Consider the following 19,301-nt stretch of genomic DNA (forward strand, 5'->3'; position numbering starts at 1 on the left):
TAAAAATTACATCCACTGATTTTTAAATGTTGAACTAGCCTTGCATTTCTGTAACCACATATATATTTATGTATATATGGTTTTGATTTTGCCAATATTTTGTTAAGGGTTTTTGCATCTATATTCATGGAGAAATATTTGGTCTGTAGTTGTTATTTCTTGTACTGTTTTTATCTGGTTTTGATAGTAGGATAATATAGCCCTCTTAAAATGAGTTAGAGAAGCATTTCCTCTGCTTCTGTTTTCTGGAAGACGTTGTGGAGAATTGGTATTTTTTTCTTCAAATGTTTTGCAGAATTCACCACTGAAATTCTAGTGCTTTACTTTTTTTAAATTTTAATTATCCATTTGATTTTTCAATAACTATAGGTCTATTGAGATTATCTATTTCTCCCATGTTAGTTCTTATAGTCTCTTTCAATGAATTAGTTTATTTTATCTAAGTTATCAAAGTTGTGTGGAAGTATCTTCTTCAAGTGCTCAAAACATTAGTTTATGAAATTGCTTCCATGAAATTGCATCAGCGTCATGAACCAAATTTTCCTGTCAAGGAGGTGAGGAGGCAGTAAGTCATGACCTTAGTTGCTTACTAAAAACGAAAGGCGTTTGAGGAAAGCCTGATAATTCATTGACAACATTACCATCAACCACACCTTACCATTCCTAGGAGAGCTGGCCAAACGGATCTTCCTCTATCAATAGCGGGAAGTGGGTATCTATTTGGTATTAACAAACATGCAAATTAGTGATTTAGGAGCCACACAGCCCCTGATGATGAAGACACATGATTCCTACACTATAATTTCAAGATGTAACATTGAATACTAAGTTGTTTTAACAATAACAAATTTTAAATTAATATATTTGGGATAAAATATCAGATTTATTTTTTCATTGCATAACATCAATCTATGATTATAATATTCACTTTTTGCCTTGGCTTTGACCAGAGACAGATTTTACCATTTGCCAATTTGGAATCTGGTCAAATGCATATTTACCGGGCACCTCTAGAATATACATGCATGGACACACACACACTCCTCATAATCTCAATGTCTCCAAGCCTCACCAGGCTGTATTTATAATCACATTGAGAATAATGCCTGTGGCTTGCAAGTAGTTCTTCTGTTTATATACTAGGCCCTTTGCATCCCAAAGTGCATGTTAGTTGGGTCACAGTGGATTTATAAACACAACCTCACAGAGCATTTGCAGATCCCCAGTGCTCCTGTGTGGTCCCCAATCTTGAATCTGACTTGTTTTGTCAAAATCCCACTTCTCTTTTGAATTCTCTTGCAGGGTGCCCACAGCACTCTTGGTAGCTGTGTAAATTCATTCATCTCTCAGTTCGTAGAAAGACAAGAGAATCACAGTTGAAGTTTGTCTGCAATGTTTGGGACTCATTTCACATCTGTATCATTCAGGGCTTATAATTAGCTTTCTTGCCTCTAAGCAAACACTAAACAGTGGCTTAAACAAAATCGATGTTTATCTTTATCTTATGTAAATGGAGTCTGGAGGCGGACTGCTCAGGGCAGAATGATGACTCCATAGCCATTGTGGATTTGGTTTCTATTTTTTTGCTTCCTCATTCTGTTGTACCCTCAAGGTCACTACCACATCCAAGAAGGCTGTTGGGGCTTCACAATATCTGCACTGGGGGTCATGCTACTGTCTGAATGTTAGTGTCCCCTCCAAACTACATGTTGAAATTCTAGCTCCAAAGGTAATGGACCTCCTAAAGGCTCCACCTCCTAATACCATTACCCTGGGGGTTAGGAGCCATCATGAATGGGATTAGTGCCCTGATTAGGTCGTGGGGGGCAGAGCTACCATAAACAGGATTAATGCCTTGATAAGAGAGACCCCAGGGAACTTGCTCACCCCTTCCACCATGTGAGACACAGCTAGAAGGCACCACATGACAGCAATATGGAGGCAGAAAAGAAGTTAAGACCAATTAAGATGGAAGACTGATGGTCACATAGGTAGAATCAGGAGGTCCATGGGGTAGATAGATGTGGCCCTGCTGATGATAGTAGGTGTGGACTTGCTGCGATATCCACGTGGTGCAGCCACAGCTGGTCAGAACAGCCACCTTAGAAGCCTCAGCTGAAAAGTACTGCTTGAAGGCACAAGAGAAATCCAGCATGTCTAGAGAGGAGAAAAGACACAGAAGAAAACTCTCCCTGGGGGTACATCCAGGTTTGAAGGGCAGAGGGGAAGTATAGCAAATGGAACCAGTGAAGAAGACAAAGAAACAGCAGCTGGAGAAATAGGGGCAAAGTAGGGCAGTGTAGAATGGCCAAGATCCAGGGAGGAGCATGGCTGGAGGGAAAGGGAGAGAGAAATGGAGCGGAAGCACCGAGAGCTCGAAGTCAAATGGAGCAGACAACGGCAGAGCAGGCCAGTGGGTCTAGTGTTTAGAAAGCCACTGGCGCCCAAAGAGGGTGTTTTTTTTTTTTGAGGTATAACCAGTGGGACAGATGGTAGTGTCTTTAAGTCTAAGTCAAAATGAGTAATTAAAAAAAAAAGAGTCAGCTGTGAAAGTAATTTTGAAGGTTATAGCCAGCCCTTGCATTTGCATGATGCTTGGTGCTTTCCCAGCAGGACAAGCTCCATAATTTGCAGGGCCCAATACAAATCAAAATGTGGGACTCTTACTGAAAAATTAAGTATTTCAAGACAGTAACAGAACATTAAAATAAGGGCAGAGTCATTCTGAGTCTGGGGCCCCATGCAACTGCATAGATTCCACACACCCATGAAACCCACTTGCTTCCAAGCAGTTTTCCTCTACTCTTTAATTTCAGAGATGAGTTCTGGAGATGGAAAAATCCATATGATTCATTTGCGATAAATATCTTTCTTGACTTCTCAGCATGGAACACCCTTCTTACTTGGGGGATAGAGGGATTTCCCATTGTGTTCATCCAGGTGAGAAGCATGATTCCCTCTACTAGGCAAATCCTCTCCCAACCCCGAGCAACCAGGTTTAGCTAATTAGGTGCTTCTTCCCAGGATTTTGAGTCTTGAGGGAGAAGTGCAAAGATGCAGGATTATTAGAGACAATTTCCTGTGGCGGTGGCAGAATGGAGAGGCCATGGCAGAGGTGAGGGTAGGGCAGGAACAGCAGTGAGTGTCCAGTGGAACCCAGGGGTAGTGTCCCATCCCATATTTCCCTGGGACCTGCTTGGGCATTCTCTGCTGCTGAGCCTTTCTTGACTGTTGCCCATTCTCCACATACAAGTTTATGTTGGGGAAAGGGTCCCTAAGACCACCCTTGAGCTTAGTAATTCACTAGAAGGATCACAGAACTCAGCAAAGCTGTCATGCTTACAGTTTTGATTATTACAGTGAAAGGACACAGACTAAAATCAGCAACAAGAAGAGGCACGCAAGGCAGGGTCCAGGGATAAGCCTCCAATTGTGCTCTCCCAGTGGCATATGTGGACAGTGATTACCTCTTTCAACAATGATGTGTGGTAACACAATGTTGGCAATGCTGATGTGTAGCAACACAAGTATTGCCAACCAGTGAAGCTCACCAGAGCCTTGGTGTCCAGAGTTTTTGCTGGAGGTCAGCCATGTAGACACAGCTGACAACCCACATGGCTGAGATTAGTATCCAGTCTCTCCAGAGGTTGAACTGTGGTCCCAGGGCCCCACCATAAATCACAATTCTAGCATAGCCTATATGACATAGTCCAAGACCCCCGAATAAACAAAGACACTCCAACTCGGCAAAACATTTCAAGGGCTTAGGGCTTACCCCTCAGAAGTAGGGATAGAAGCCACACCTTTCTTTGGGCAAGATAAATCCTTCACTGCACACCAAGCCCTCTTCACCTGCTTTCTCATCCAAGCCCTGGGTTCTCCAAACCCTTTCTTAGGAAGCCCTTCCAAAGAGTACCTGGATACTCTCAATACCTCCTGAGGTGGACACAGCAGATACTGTGATCTCTATTTTTCCAATGAGCCAACAGAGGCCCAGAGAGATCTAGGAACTTTCCTGAAGTCACATAAGTTGATGTAGGGCTCACATGTTCTGAAACCTACCCCAATGTCCTTTTGATTCCACCCAGCTGTCAGGGATGTAATTGCTGTAACAGGCTAGCAGCTGCCCAGGAGGAATCGGAGTCACTGGAAAGGTCAGAAGACTGAGGTTGGCTGAACTTCATCTCAAATATTTGGGGATCTGAATTTTTTAAATTCCTCATAAGCCTGATGAAATTAACCCAGGGTTTGCCCTCCAACAGTATTCTAAGGAGTTTTGTAGATAAATAGGGCTTTCTGTAGATTTTTTCAAACGTCCAATGTTAAGACATTTCTCTATGTTAGGAAGGTGGCCAGACTTTCCAGGAAACATGGCAAAACCAAAGGGCATCCCTACATCCATGGAATGGAAAACAAGCCTTTATAACCAATAGGTGACATCCCTAAGCGATTATCCCCCACCGTGACCCAGAAGTAAAAGTCCTTTGTGGTGGGCAAGGCTTGTCTCCTAGCCAGGGAACAACTTACCCCAGCCCTACCGCCAGCTGCTCCCATCTGCTGCCAGGAGCCCTGGGAAAGAGATGGTCACTAAGGTAACTACAAGACACTGAGGGTTGGGCAGACATAGACACACAGCAGCTGCCACTGCTGGGCACACAGCCCGTGCCCTGCTCTGGAGGGACCCCGGAGGCCTTCTGCCAGCTGAGGCCTCAGACCTGGGGCACACAGGGCTGCCTAGAGAGAGGTGCTTTGAGAACCTTCTTGGTCTCCATAGTGTTCCTGCAGATCATAGATCATGGAGACATCTCTTCCAACTGGGAGACTGAGGCCAGGAGCAGGAACTGACATTTAATAGCAGAGCTCAGACTTAAACTCAATGGTCCTGACACCAACTTGAGAGCTCTCCACTTTAGAGGTGACCTCCTGATGCGATGAGCTCTCCAGGATCCCAAAGAAAGGGGTTGAATACGGCTGCAAGGGATGATGCAGAAATACCTCATTCACTCACTCAGCAAACATTTACCAACTGAAATCAGTGTGTTGACAGGGACAGGACTGTGGCCCCTGTATTGAGAGGATCTAGTGGGAATCTCTTCTTGCCTCTTCTGGCTTCTGGTGGCTTCAGGCAGCTCCAGGCATCCTTGGTTTGTGGCTGTGTAACTCCAAACTGCCTCTGACCTCACACAGTCTTCTCCTCTGTGTCTCCCCACATTCTCTTCTCTCAGGAGGACACTTGTCATTAGATTTAGGACCCAGCTTAATCCAGAATAATCTCAACTCAAGATCCTTAACTTCATTATATCTTCAAAGACCCTTTCCCCAAATAAAGTCAGATGCACAGATTTTAATGGATGTATATTTTGGTGAAGGGGCACCATCCAACCCACTGCCCCCACCCTGTGTTAGGCTGTTTTAAACCCTGGGTGCTACAGAAAACACAGCAGACAGGGCCTGGTTCTCTGAAGTTTATAATCCAATGAAGAAAAGACAATCTACAGATGGTCACCAACTTATGATGGTTCAATTTAGAATTTTTTACCCATAAGAGGATCCAAAAGCAATATGCATTTAGTAGAAACAGTACTTCAAGTACGCATACAACCATTCTGTATTCACTTTCAGTACAGCACTCAATACATTACATAAGATATTTAGCACTGGATTACTAAATAAGCTTTGTGTTAGATGATTTGCCTAACTGTAGGCTAGTGTAAGTGTTCTGAGCATATTTAACATAGGCTAGGCTAAGCTATGATATTTGGTGGGTTAGGTGTATTAAATGCATTTTCAGTTTACAATATTTTTAACTTATGATGGGTTTATGGAGATGTAACTGTGGGCATCTGTATAATTTAATGTAGTTTCAGGTAATGATAACTACTCAGAAGAACAGTTACAAAGGGCAAAGCAAGACTGGGCATGGAGTGGGTTCTCTTTTAGATGAAATGGTCACAAAAGCTCTCTTGGAAGGGGTTTCGGATGGCTCAGCTCACTTGCACATGCGCCAGTTTCCACCTATCCAAGTTCAGGGACCTGGGAGACAACAGTATAGTACCGAGGAAAGAGCAGAAACTTGGTAGCTTGTCTTTCGTTGCGCTTGCATTGGAGGGGCACGACATTTCCTGCAGTCCTTGTGGCTGTAAGCTGAAAATGCATTTACTACACATAACCCACCAGATACCATAGCTTAGCCTCGCCTACCCACGCTCAGAACACTTACATTAGCCCACGGGGGGCAAATCATCTAAGCCTATTTGGTAATCAAGTGCTAAATATCTTATGTAATGTATTGAATGCTATAACTGAAAGTGAAAACAGAATGGTTGTATGGGTACTTGAAGTACTGTTTCTACTAAATGCATATGGCTTTTGCATCATCTTAAAGGTGAAAAATCCTAATATCTGCTAGTAGCATGCATGAAAGGAAATGGCAGCACTTTGGAACTGCAGTCATTGGAACCTGGACTTTCAAGACTGCCATTTACCAAGGGTTTTCTATGAACGAGGCACCTCATCCACCAACCAGGATGCTGAATGGAACTTCTCCATTGAGATTTCCTGAGTCCCCAGAAGTGAAGTCAATGGGTTCTCACACATTTTAAAAGGAGGCGTTAGACACATGACCACAGAAATGCCCAAATCTGCAAAAACCTGTGACCCTTGCTCACCGCTCACTTCCAACCTACACAAGAGATAAGAAATTCAGAGAAGATTGATCAGAGAAAGCTATCCCTTAAAGCAAATGCACAGATGTGGAGCTTGTGACAGTGTTTGTCCTCCTTTTTATTATTTTTAGAGGCAGAGTCTCGCTGTGTCACCCAGGCTGGAATGCAGTGGCACAATCATAGCTCACTGCAGCCTTGAGCTCCTGGGCCCGAGGGATCCTCGCAGCTCAGCCTCTTGAGGAGCTGGGGCTACAGACCCACACCATTGTGCCTAACTTGTTTCTCCTTCTTTTCTGAGAGGAAAGAGAAAAGCCAGGGCTCCTCATCCTAAATGAGGGGAAGGGGCAGGAGAATCTCTGGGGAGGGGAAGGGGTGTCCATGGGCCAGTCTGGTTTCTGACTACGTGCTGAATGTCTCCTAAGCTGCTAAACTGTGCACCCAGGGCCACTACAAGGCCAGAGCAGAGTGCAGTGACAATGCTGGGTGACACCTTGGCCTCCTGAACTTTGGAGGTCACACACTAGAGTCAGCTTTTTTCCTGAAGATGTCCAGGATGCATGAGGAGGATGGTCAGGCAGCCTGGGGAGCAGCCTGCACCCCCAGAGACTGGCTGGGCAGAGGGAACACCAAGGAAGGGGCCGGACTAGAGCCACCCTGGAAACAACCCTGCCCAAGCAGGCTGCCTGGCAGAACTCCAGGGCGGGCCCCTGGGGCGGGAGATGAAGAGATGAGAAGGAGCTGGGAGAGGTCAGAACAGAGGGTGCATCTATCATGCCAGCAGGCCCCAGGTGGGGGCAGGGGTGGAAGTGAGGCTAGTGGATATCTCTGAAGAACCCACAAAAGGTACCTCTTGGAAGAGAGAAAAGAAAGAGGGCTGTTATGGGTTGAACTGTGTCCCTCAAAAAGATGTGTTGAATGAATTCCTCACCCCTAGAACCTGTGAAGGTGACCTTATTTGGGAATGGGGTTGGGGCTGATGTAATCAGTTAGAATGAGGTTGTAGTGGACCAGGGGGGGCCCTTAATCCAATATGACTGTTGTACTTATCAGAAAAGGGAAATTTGGAAACAGACACAGAGAAGAGAGCACCATTTGAATAGATGCAAAGATTGGAGTCATGGTATCACTATCTAAGGATAGTGCTTCGGGGGCTGCCAGAAGCTGGAAAAGGCAAAATATGACCCTGCCCCAGGGGTTTCAGAGGGAGGCTGGTCCTGCCAACACCTTGATTTTGGACTTCTAGCTTTCAGAACTGTGAGAGAATAAATTTCTGTTGATGTAGGACACCCAGTTTGAGATATGCTGCTATGGCAACCCTAGCAAACTAATATAAGGGCCAACCTTTGGGCATCTGCCACATAGAAGACCCATGGCCAGATACTCCAAGAGTCAGGTGAGGCAGCCTTGAGTTCACATCTCCCCTCCGCCACCCACCCCTTCCCCCAGCTCCAGGTGCAACAGGGCATATGAGGGACACACCGGGTCCTATTCCTGGGGCTGTCCTTGCCTAAGCTGGGGAAAAGGCAACTGCTTTGAATGGGACGTGAGATGGAAAAAAAAAAAAAAAAAAGCGAAACAGAAGATCTGAGTGGCTTAAATTGGACTTCAATCTTTTTACTACTAGAACATGCTATAGGATCTACCTAGACTGTGAGAAGTTTCCCCAAAGAGTCCACAGGAAACATATAGGTAGGAATATCTGATGGGCTCTGGCCCAAAACTTTCCTCTAAGCCTCAAGGAGAGCCAAAGCACTATTCTGAAAATGTTGGAGGCAGAAGAAAGTTTTCTCAGATTCCCTGGCATCTCCTGGGCTTCTCCATAAATGGAAAGAAGGCTCAGTTCAGCTTCACTGAAGTCTTGGATTCTTGTCCCCCAGGGACTGAAACCAAACCTGGAGCCCAGGTCACTACAGGGAAATGATCCAGACCTCAAGGAATTTCAAAACACTTACTCAGGCAACAGCTTTACCTGGAAGCTGGCCAACAAAGGCCATATAATGGACAGAGCAACATTCTGTGGTTGGGGAAATGCTTTCAGAGAGGCAAGCCTTTGGGACTGTAGATTAGGATCCAAATACCAGTGTAAATAGAGTAGAGCTTCCTGGTAGAGGGCTTGGTTGCTCAAGGTGAACAGTGTGTGTCTTTGTCCATGGTCAGCTCCACAGTCCAGAGTAAGTTACTCTATCATCAGAGTTAATGGCAGGAAACAGAAAGTCCCCTAGTGGGTTTTAGGTATACAGAGAATTAATACAGTTAATTAGGTGCTTCCAGAAATCATCTGAAAGCTGTCAGGAAGTTGGGTGGCTCTAGACTGGGTCTCTAGGAGTGTTTAAAAGGCATCCCAAATTTGTTTTAAGCTGTTATGGTGAGACATGAAAGTGACTGTCATGAAGAAGTTTGCTACTCACAGGTCCCTAGAAGCAGGGCGTGCAGGGCCACATGGAGAAGCACCCATGTTAGTCCTTTACTGAGGTTTCCACAGGGAGGAACAGGTGAGGTAGTGTCAGCAGCTTTAGGATTGTCTAATTTGAATAATCTTAGCAGGCTCTTGGGCACAGGGGCTGCCCCTGGTTGTGTGTCCCTAATTGTCTTTCCCTAGGGCTGACCCCGGTTGTCCAGCCCTGGGGTGATTAGAGCAGGCAGATAGTGGCCTGGAGTATGAGAACAGATATAGGAGGTGGTTGGGGTATGGCTCTGGATTGGTTGGTTTGCATATGAAAGGCACATTGGCTCACACACCAGACATTTGCTATTCCTAGGAATTCGCTAGTCCAGTAAGGGGTGGTCCCTCCAGGGTCAGCAAAGCCCCAAGATGTCAAAGCATCAAAAATACAGAATAAAAACACAAACTGGGCAAGGAATTGCTTCTGCAACATTTGAGAAGGCAAGGAAATGGGGCTACAAGGAAGCTCATGAGTGCCAGAGGATTAAGATAGTGTCTGTAAACCACTAGTAGAGTTAAAGGCATTAAATCCTCAATTAATAGCGACTGCTACAATTCTTAGCATTGCTTTCAGTTCTGTAACTTGGGCTACACAGACAATGATCACATTATTAGGTTTGCACTTAAAAAGAAAAAAAAGTCCCCTGTCATTTGACTATCTCTGAGACATCTGGAGTTTGAGACTCTCCGGGAGCACAGTACTAATCACACGTACACTCCAGCAATACTGGATGCACTAAGTTAAACTGGTGACCTGGAGCATATTTGAGGTGCGTAGTTCTGAACCTTACCTTTTGATAAAGGTTTGGTCCTTGCTGGGGGCTGACATTGCCTATAAGAGGACCTAACAAAGCTCAGTGCTCTTTCCAGCATCTTCCTGTAATACCCTTAGAGGTCTTCTAATCGTGTAGTGCTTTCTGTTGCCCACTAGCCAAGGAGCAGAGTGAAGTGAGACCCAAACCAGAAAGTAAACCTGAAATGCAGGCAGAGAGGGCCAATCCCCACATGCACAGAGCAGAAGTGCAGAAAAGGGGGGCAGAGGACACAACTCTTGTGAGCACCCTGGACAGCTGTTTTGCATTTAGCCATCGGCAACGCCATGAGGCTGAGATGTGTCTCAGTTTTATAGAGGATGGCAAAGCTCAAGAGGTTATGCACTAGCAGAGGTCCCACAGCAGGGTTCACACCCAGGTCTACCTAACTCTGCAGGCCAGGAGGCTTCCAACCACACTACACAGCCTGGAGAAAGAACTGCACATGAAGAATGAGCTGTGGAGGAGGCTGCCATCGCCATGCCCATAGAGGGCAGCCAGGTGTGGTTGGGGAAACGGTGGAGTGAGGTCAGAGCCTCAGAGAACAGCAATAGAGGCAGGCTGCAAAGACTTCCCCCCATGTCCCTGTTCTCCCACAGATGCCCACCCAACTTCCCAAACTGGAACTGCATTTCTGTGCACTTTTGCTAATGGAAATCCCAGCAGAGGACTTTGTGACTTTTATGGTTTGTTTTAATAACACACCCCTCACGATTACTAAAGTAATACACATCATTGTAAAACAGAGAAATGGACCTTGTATGAAAACAAGCCACCACACCCACTAGGATGGCTGTCATAAAAAAGACAGATAATAGCAGGGTTGGTAAGGGTGGGAGATATTGGAACCCTCATAGTCTGCTGGCTTCTGGTACAGCTACTTTACAAAACAGATTGGCAGGTCCTTAGAAAGTTAGACAGAGTTACCATGTGACTCAGCAATTCCACTCCTGGGGATATGCCCAAGAGAAATGAAATTATAGGTCTACAGAACAGTGTGTACATGAATGTTCACAACAGCATCTAAAGGTGGAAGCAATCTAAATGTCTACTAATTAATGTGTAGGTAAAGAAAATATGGTGTATCTATACAATAAATGTTATTCAGCAATACAAAGGAATGAAGTGCTGATATGTGCTGTGACATGGATAAACCTTAAAAATGTTATGCTAAGTAAAAGCAGCCAGTCACAAAAGACCACCTGTTGTATGATTCCACTTTCATGAAATGTCCAGAGTTCATAAATCTATAGATAGACAGTAGGTTAGTGATTTCCTAAGGCTGGGGTGGGTGGGTGGCTACTAGTGAGTATAGGGTTTCTTTGGAGGGTTACAAAAGTGTTCTAACATTGATCATGGTGATGGTTGTACAACTCTGTGAATATACTAGAAATTATTGACTTGTACACTTTAAATGGGTGAATTTTATGATATATGAATTACATGTCAATAAAGATGCTATAAAAATTATAAAAACTTGCATGTGGACATTTTTAGCAGCTTTATTCATAATCGCCAAGATTTAAAAGCACCAAGATGTCCTTCAACAGATGAATGAGTAAATACACTGTGGGACATCCAGAATACGAAATATTATTCAATGCTTAAATGAGCTGCCAAGCCATGAAAAGATGTGAAGGAAGCTTAAATGCGTATTTCTATGTGAAAGGATCCAGTGTGAAAAGCTACACACTGTATAATTCCAAATGCTGTATATGACATTCTGAAAAAGGTAAAATTATAGAGACAGTAAAAAGTTCAGTTGTTGCTAGGGATTGTGGGGAAGGAAGGATGAAGAGGCAGAGCACAGAGGATATTTAGTGCAGTGAAACTATTCCATATGATACTATGATGGTGGATCCATGTCATTACTCATTTGTCAAAGCTCAAAGAATGTACAGCACCAAGAGTGAACCCTAACGAAAACTATGAACTTTGGATGATAATGATGCGTCAATGTAGAATTGTCATCAGTTCTAACAAATGCACCACCCTGGTGGGGGACGTTGATAGTGGGGGTGGCTGTGAGTGTGGTGGGTGGAGAACATATGGGAACTCAGTACATTACACTCAATTTTTATGTGAACCTAAAACTGGTTTAAAAAAATAAATGCATGCAAAAATACAGTTAGGTAGAAGGAATAAATCCTATGATTTTATAGTATAGTAGGGAAATTATAGCTAACGATAATTTATTGTACATTTCAATACAGCTGGAAGAATTGTAATGTTCCCAATACAAATAAAAGATAAATGTTTGAGGTGATGGATATACCAATTGCTCTGATTTGATCATTAAGCCTTTTACACATGTGTCAAAATATCACACGTGTTGCGGGAAGTCAGGGACCCCGAATGGAGGGACCGGCTGGAGCCGCAGCAGAGGAACATAAATTTTGAAGATTTCATGGGCATTTATCAGTTCCCAAATAATACTTTTATAATTTCTTATGCCTGTCTTTACTTTAATCTCTTAATCCTGTTATCTTCGTAAGCTGAGGACGTACATCACCTCAGGACCACTGTGATAATTGTGTTAACTCTACAAATTGATTGTAAAACATGTGTGTTTGAACAATATGAAATCAGTGCACCTTGAACAAAAACAGAATAACAGTGATTTTTAGGGAACAAGGGAAGACAACCATAAGGTCTGACTGCCAGCGGGGGCGGGCAAAAAGAGCCTTATTTTTCTTCTTGCAGAGAGCCTATAAACAGACATGCAAGTGGGAGAGATATCGCTGAATTCTTTTCCTAGCAAGGAATACTAATACTAATACCCTGGGAAAGGAATGTGTTCCTGGGGGGAGGTCTATAAACGGCCGCTCTGGGAGTGTCTGTCTTATGCGGTTGAGATAAGGACTGAGATACGCCCTGGTCTCCTGCAGTACCCTCAGGCTTACTAGGGTGGGGAAAAAACTCTGCCCTGGTAAATTCGTGGTCAGACCAGTTCTCTGCTCTCGAACCCTGTTTTCTGTTGTTTAAGATGTTTATCAAGACAATACGTGCGCCGCTGAACATAGACCCTTATCAGTGGTTCTACTTTTGCCCTTTGCCTTGTGATCTTTGTTGGACCCTTATTAGTAGTTCTGCTTTTTGCCCTTTGAAGCATGTGATCTACTCCCTGTTCTCACACCCCCTCACCTTTTGGAACCCTTAATAAAAAACTTGCTGATTTGAGGCTCAGGTGGGCATGACGGTCCTACTGATATGTGATGTCACCCCCAGTGGCCCAGCTGTAAAATTCCTCTCTTTGTACTCTTTCTCTTTATTGCTCAGCTGGCCGACACTTACGGAAAATAGAAAGAACCTACATTGAAATATTGGGGGGCAGGTTCCCCCAATAACATGTACCTACCAAATATGTACAACTATGATATAACAATAAAAAAACACAAAAGCCTAGTTTTTAAAAATCGCATAATGAAAAAAAAACACGTGGGAGTCTGACCACACACACAAATATGATAATCACTCAACAGTTCAACCAATGTTCTTGGCTCTTTGTAAAGACTTAAAAATATAGTTTCCTATTATAGTTTTTCGCCTGTTTCTCCTTTGCTAGGGTGAAAGGAAAATAAATCTTGGGGCCCCAAAATCACTAAGCTAAAGGGAAAAGTCAAACTGGGAACTGCTTAGGGCCAACCTGCCTCCCATTCCATTCAAAATCATCCCTCTGTTCACTGAGATAAATGCATATCTGATTGCTTCCTTTGGAAAGGTTTATCAGAAACTCAAAAGAATGCAACCATTTGTCTCTTATCTACCTATGACCTGGAAGTCTTCCTTGCTGTTTTGAGTTGTCCCGCTTTTGCTTCAAGTTGTCCTGCTTTTCTGGACAGAACCAATGTTCAACTTACATATGTTGATTGATGTCTCATGTCTCCCTAAAATGTATTAAACCAAGCTGTTCTCCAGCCACCTTGGGAGCATGTCATCAGGCCCTCCTGAGGCTGTGTCATAGGCACACATCCTTAACCTCGGCAAAATAAACTTTCTAAATTGACTGGACCTGTCTCAGATATTTAGGGTTCACACTAGCGATATGATAGAAGCATTTTTCTATGTCAATAAAGATGTTATATTTTAAAATATCTCTATGGAAATGTATTATGTGGATGAACTATAATTAATTTAAACACCACATTTTTTAGACATCATCATAACTTGTGTTATTATAAAGAACATTGTGAACAAATCACATGTTCCTAAAATAGATTCTTAATGACAATAAAACAGTGAATATTTGTTGAGCGCTTACTAAAAGTCAGTGACTAAGTGAAGTGCCTTGCAAATGTTGCTGCAATTAATATTCAGAGAAACTCATGGTGGCAGGTGCCTGTAGTCCCAGCTACTTGGGAGGCTGAGGCAGGAGAATGGCGTGAACCCAGGAGGAGGAGTTTGCAGTGAGCTGAGATCATGCCACTGCACTACAGACTGGGTGACAGAGTGAGACTCCATCTAAAAAAAGAAAAAAAGCATTCAGAGAAACTTAGGAAGCGGGCACTAAAATTAATCCCATTTTACAGATAAAATAACTGAGACTTGGAGATTCAGTGACTTGCCTAAAGTTAAGCAGCTATGAACAGCAAATACTGTGATCAAACTTAGTTTATCTGAATCTAGAACTTGAGCTGTTAATCATTCTGAACCCCAAAATATACTGAGTTTATGTATCTTTTAATTCTTTTGATACCTTCTGTCAAATAGCTCTGGGCCCAGAAAAGTCATATTAATTTATACTTTCTACCAAAAATGCAGAAAGTGCTCATGATCCCAATCAGCATTGGTTTTATAGTTCTTCATTATCTTGTATTAATTTAATATGCAAAAACTAGTCTCTTGTTCTTGTTTCAACTTGTAATTTTTAAGTTACTTGAGAGATTGCATATTTTTATGCTTACTGGCTGTATGCATTAAATTTTTTCTGGAATCAGTTTTGCATATCCCTTTCTTCTTTTCCATTGAGCTCTCTTTTTTCTTATTGATTTTTTTATGGCAATATCACCTTTGTCATATAATTTCCAAATATGTTTCATGCTTTATGATTTTTTGGGGCAGGGGTGAGGATGGGGTCTCGCTCTGTTGCCCAGGTTGGAGTGCAGTGGCGCAATCTCAGCTCACTGCAACCTGCGCCTCCTGAGTTCAAGCAATTCTCCTGCCTCAGCCTCCCGAGTAGCTGGGACTACAGGTGCATGCCGCCACACCCGGCTAATTTTTTTGTATTTTAGTAGAGACAGGGTTTCACCATGTTGCCCAGGCCGGTGCTGAACTCCTGAGCTCGGGCAATCCACCTGCCTCAGTCTCCCAAAGTGCTAGGATTACAGGTGTGAGCCACCGCGCCCAGCCACGATTTTTTCTTGTAACTTGACATTCCATTATTTTTTATTGATTATTGATTTTAGACTAAAATCAAGTGTGGGCTCCAGTTAGAAACCTTGGACATAGAGAGGGGTGGCAAAGCACAGGAGAATGGTTTTCAATTGTTTTAAAGCAGTAGAAAACTTTTTGTCTGATAAAATTTTATTCAGAACCTAGCGTGAGATATAAAATATTTTGCAACCCAAAGGCATAGGCACCAATTGGAATAGACTCAGGCCTTAGCCATGCCAGGTGTTGTCCTTTGAATGGGGAGAATCTTGGGACATAGCAAGTGTGCAGGTGTCCTCCAGGAGTGGGCCTCTGAGAACTTGCTCTTTCAGGGGTCTGCCTTATTACTCCAAGGTGGAGTGGGAAAAGGGATATTTAGGGAACTTGGCTTCCTGGGCTGTCCCGCCAGCTTCGGTAGCTCTCCTGGCCTCCAGCCCCAGAGGCTGTCTCCTGAGCAGGGAGACATGTAATGCTAATCTCCCCAAATGGATCTCATCTTTTCATGTAGGTCTTGGCAGTTCTTCCACTGAAGAAGGGTGGGTCAGAGGTTCCTACAGTGGGGAAGAGGGCAGGTGTGGGTAAGGGCAGCAAGGGAGACATGACCTGTCCTCCTTATTCCTTGGACCTCACAGGTGGAGGTGGCCTCACAGAAGAGACTGTGTCTGAATGAAGAGAGTGGGGAACTCACCTTTCCCTAGCCACTCTTCTCATCCTGTCCTTCCAGTCGCTCTAGGAACTACACCCTCCCTCTACCATCTTGCTTTGTGTGTTTTGTCATCTTGCTACCACTGGATGCCCAGGTATCATGAAGGGGAGACCGCAGGGTCTTCTGAATGTGGGTCAGTCTGAGAACTGGCTGAATTCTGCATTATATGGAAGGAAGCAGGACATGTCAACGTGAGTCTTGATTTTTCTCGGAAACAACTGAGTCTGGCTCCCCTAAGGAAAGCATGTTCCATCTGTAATGTGTCTTGGATCTTGATCCTTGAGAAACAAAAGCCCTGGAATTATTGAGGTTTTAACTAAGGAGCCTTTGACACTGCCTGAGCCTGGTTTATACTGCCAGTTACAACATTTAGCTGCCAATGGCTCTTTCTTAATCCTCTTTGATGACTGGCACCAGTTGCACCTGGGATTGTTTCCTCTGATTCTGAATGGGATGATGTTGCCACCCTTCCGTCTGCCATAGCGGAATGGTCTTTTGCATCAGACAGACTGGGTTTAATTCTCATCTCCCCACCTGCTGCATGATTTTAGGGGGTTCACTTGGCCTGCCTAGATCTCAGGCTCCTCAGCTATAGGCCTGAGATATTACCCTCCTTGCTGTGAGGATTAAGACAGGATATGGCAAGTACCCATCCCTCTTTCCTCTGTACCCTTTGGTCCCTGTGTGGAATCAGCTGATGTGCATGTCATCTGGAGGGGCCCATAGAAGAGGACAGTTCTAGCACCTTTCGCTGCTCTGCTGGTCTTGCTCCTTCTACGGACTGGACCTGGTCCAGCTATCAAACACTGCTCTCAGCACCGCAGAAAGGCTGCAGAGGGAGCGGACCAGACAAGGGTTCAAGTAGGGTCTGAAGCCAGCCTGCCTGGATTTAAATCCTGCCTCTGCCACTTACTGTATTACTTTGAGCTTGCAGCTTCTCTCTAAATCGCAGGGTTGATGAGTTGTAAATGGCTATTTAAATGTAAAAGCTTGATGTCATTTGATCATAACAGTAGCGCGGGAAAATGAACCACTCTAGGACGAAACCCAGGGGTGAGGAGGCTGCCTTTGTGTTTGTAGACAGAGTTCACGGACACATAGAAGACTCTAATTCCCAGTTAGGATGCTGCTTCTGCAACGAGATAAGACCTCAGCTTTTCAAATGGGGTCAGGAGCTTGCTAGGGGGATTATCCTGTGGCCTAATTAAGTAGTGGGAAGCAAAAGGACTTTTGCAAGTGAAGGAAAAGACTACATTGGTATCAGTGATCTATGTTAAAATGACAGAGCTAATTACTGCCATTTTAATTAGGAAATCATAGGAATGCAATTTATTGTGGCAGTAGGGTGCTCTCTTCAAGCAGTGGGGTGGGACAAATCCACAGCTGTGGGTCAGAGACTTGCATTTGGGTGGGTCTTGACTTCATGGCTAGTGTGTGATCTGTGACCTAGGCCAGGCTGTCTAGCCTTTGCAGGCCTTTCCTGCTCTGAAAAATGAAGATAATTAAACCGATTTAATCTAGTAGAGAAGATAGTTGATGAGAACACAGTACAGAAAGTTCCAGGCTCTACAATATGCAAAGATTTATTATCATCACATCTTGATCATTTCTCTCATCTCTCAGAGCAGGGGAGCCCTACCTTATCGGAAAATGGAGATTTTGTTTCCTGGCTCATTAGTTATTTGTCCACAGCCTTTACCCACAAAAACTCAATGTATAGAAGTGTATGTATCTATTTTTAAAATTACTTATAAGAAACAGCCATCTGAAACTCTCTGTGGTATTTGTGGCAATCAGTATTTTAATAAATATGATAAGGAGTTTCAGATGGCTATTTCTTTTTTTCTTTCTTTTTTTTTTGGAGACAGAGTCTTGTTCTGTCACCCAGGTTGGAGTGCCAAGGCACAATCTTGGCTCACTGCAACCTCCACCTCCCAGGTTCAAGTGATTCTTGTGCCTCAGCCTCCAGAGTAGCTGGGATTACAGGAGTGCACCACCATGCCCGGCTAAATTTTTTTTGTATTTTTAGTAGAGACGGGGTTTTGCCATGTTGCCCAGGCTGGTCTTGAACTCCTAAGCTCAGGCAATCTGCCTTCCTCAGCCTCCCAAAGTGCTAGGATTACAGGCGTGAGCCACAGTGTCCAGCCTACCATGGCTATTTCTTATATGGAATGCAGAGCAGTAAAAGTGATCCTCTGAGACTCTTCTTCCCACTTAGTTTGTTGAGTGAATGAATGAGTGAATGGAAGATGATGAGTTAAGAATCCCTTTAAATAAGATCCCTCTTCATTCCCTGAAGACTACTTTATACTTTTGCAGTACCCATGATAAGCTGTTAGACATCCCCTCCCTTACGAGCATAATCCAGTCATAAAGGCATTGTGGGCAAAGGACCTCTTCCCTATCCACCACCCTCTGACCATCACCGACTGTCACCTTTATGACAAAGGAAGCTGATGCTGCAAATGGTCAGGAGCCAGTGTCAGGACTTTCACTAATATCAGGATGTGACACATCAAAGGTTTGGTGGCACACTCATCCAAAGGAATGGAAAAGAACCACTAGGAAAGACAAAATGCTTTCTTTCTGAACACAAAGGAGACTGAGCAAAGCCCTCCTTTGGGGGAGAAAAGGGATCATTTCATACCCAGTTGCTGTGTCCTCAGCCTATGGGGCAACAATGGTGGAGAGAAACAAGAGGATGCAGAGTGCTGAGTCCCACAGGCTGGGTTCAATCCATCAGATGCCCTATGCACCCTGGCTCCAACGATGTGAGCCCCATCGAAAAATGACTCATATTCTGCATGACACAGTTGTCCAAAGTCATTTGGGGAAATATCCAGATGAGTTTAAACAAAATCTGAGGAAGCATTTGTGACAACTGTGAGCTTAAAAAGACATGAGGACAGTTTATCTCATATGAGAAAAAGAATGCTGAGAAATAGTTGTAACTGGAGCACACCTGGAGAATATCCCCGGGGTGGGGTAGCTTGTGTTAGAGAAGTGAACCCTGGGAAGAAAGGCACTGAGGAGCTGAGAACCCTGCCTAAGTCTAACTCTTCCAGGAGGGTTCATCTGCAGCCTGGCAGCCAAAGTCTTCTGTGGCAGGCAGAGCTCAAACAACTCTTCCAGCCATACCTCTTTCCACACATCCCAGAGCTCTGCTGACCTGGTGCTCTTAAAGCTGCTGGAGTTGGGTTTACTGTCACTTGCAGCTGAGTCTTGCCTAATAGAAATCCAGTTCAAATGCCTTCTTTTCCATAGAACTTGGCACAGCCTCCCCTCCCTCTGACCCACCATGGCAA

This window comes from Homo sapiens, chromosome 4 (genome assembly GCF_000001405.40).
Source record: "Homo sapiens chromosome 4, GRCh38.p14 Primary Assembly".
Taxonomy (NCBI): domain Eukaryota; kingdom Metazoa; phylum Chordata; class Mammalia; order Primates; family Hominidae; genus Homo; species Homo sapiens.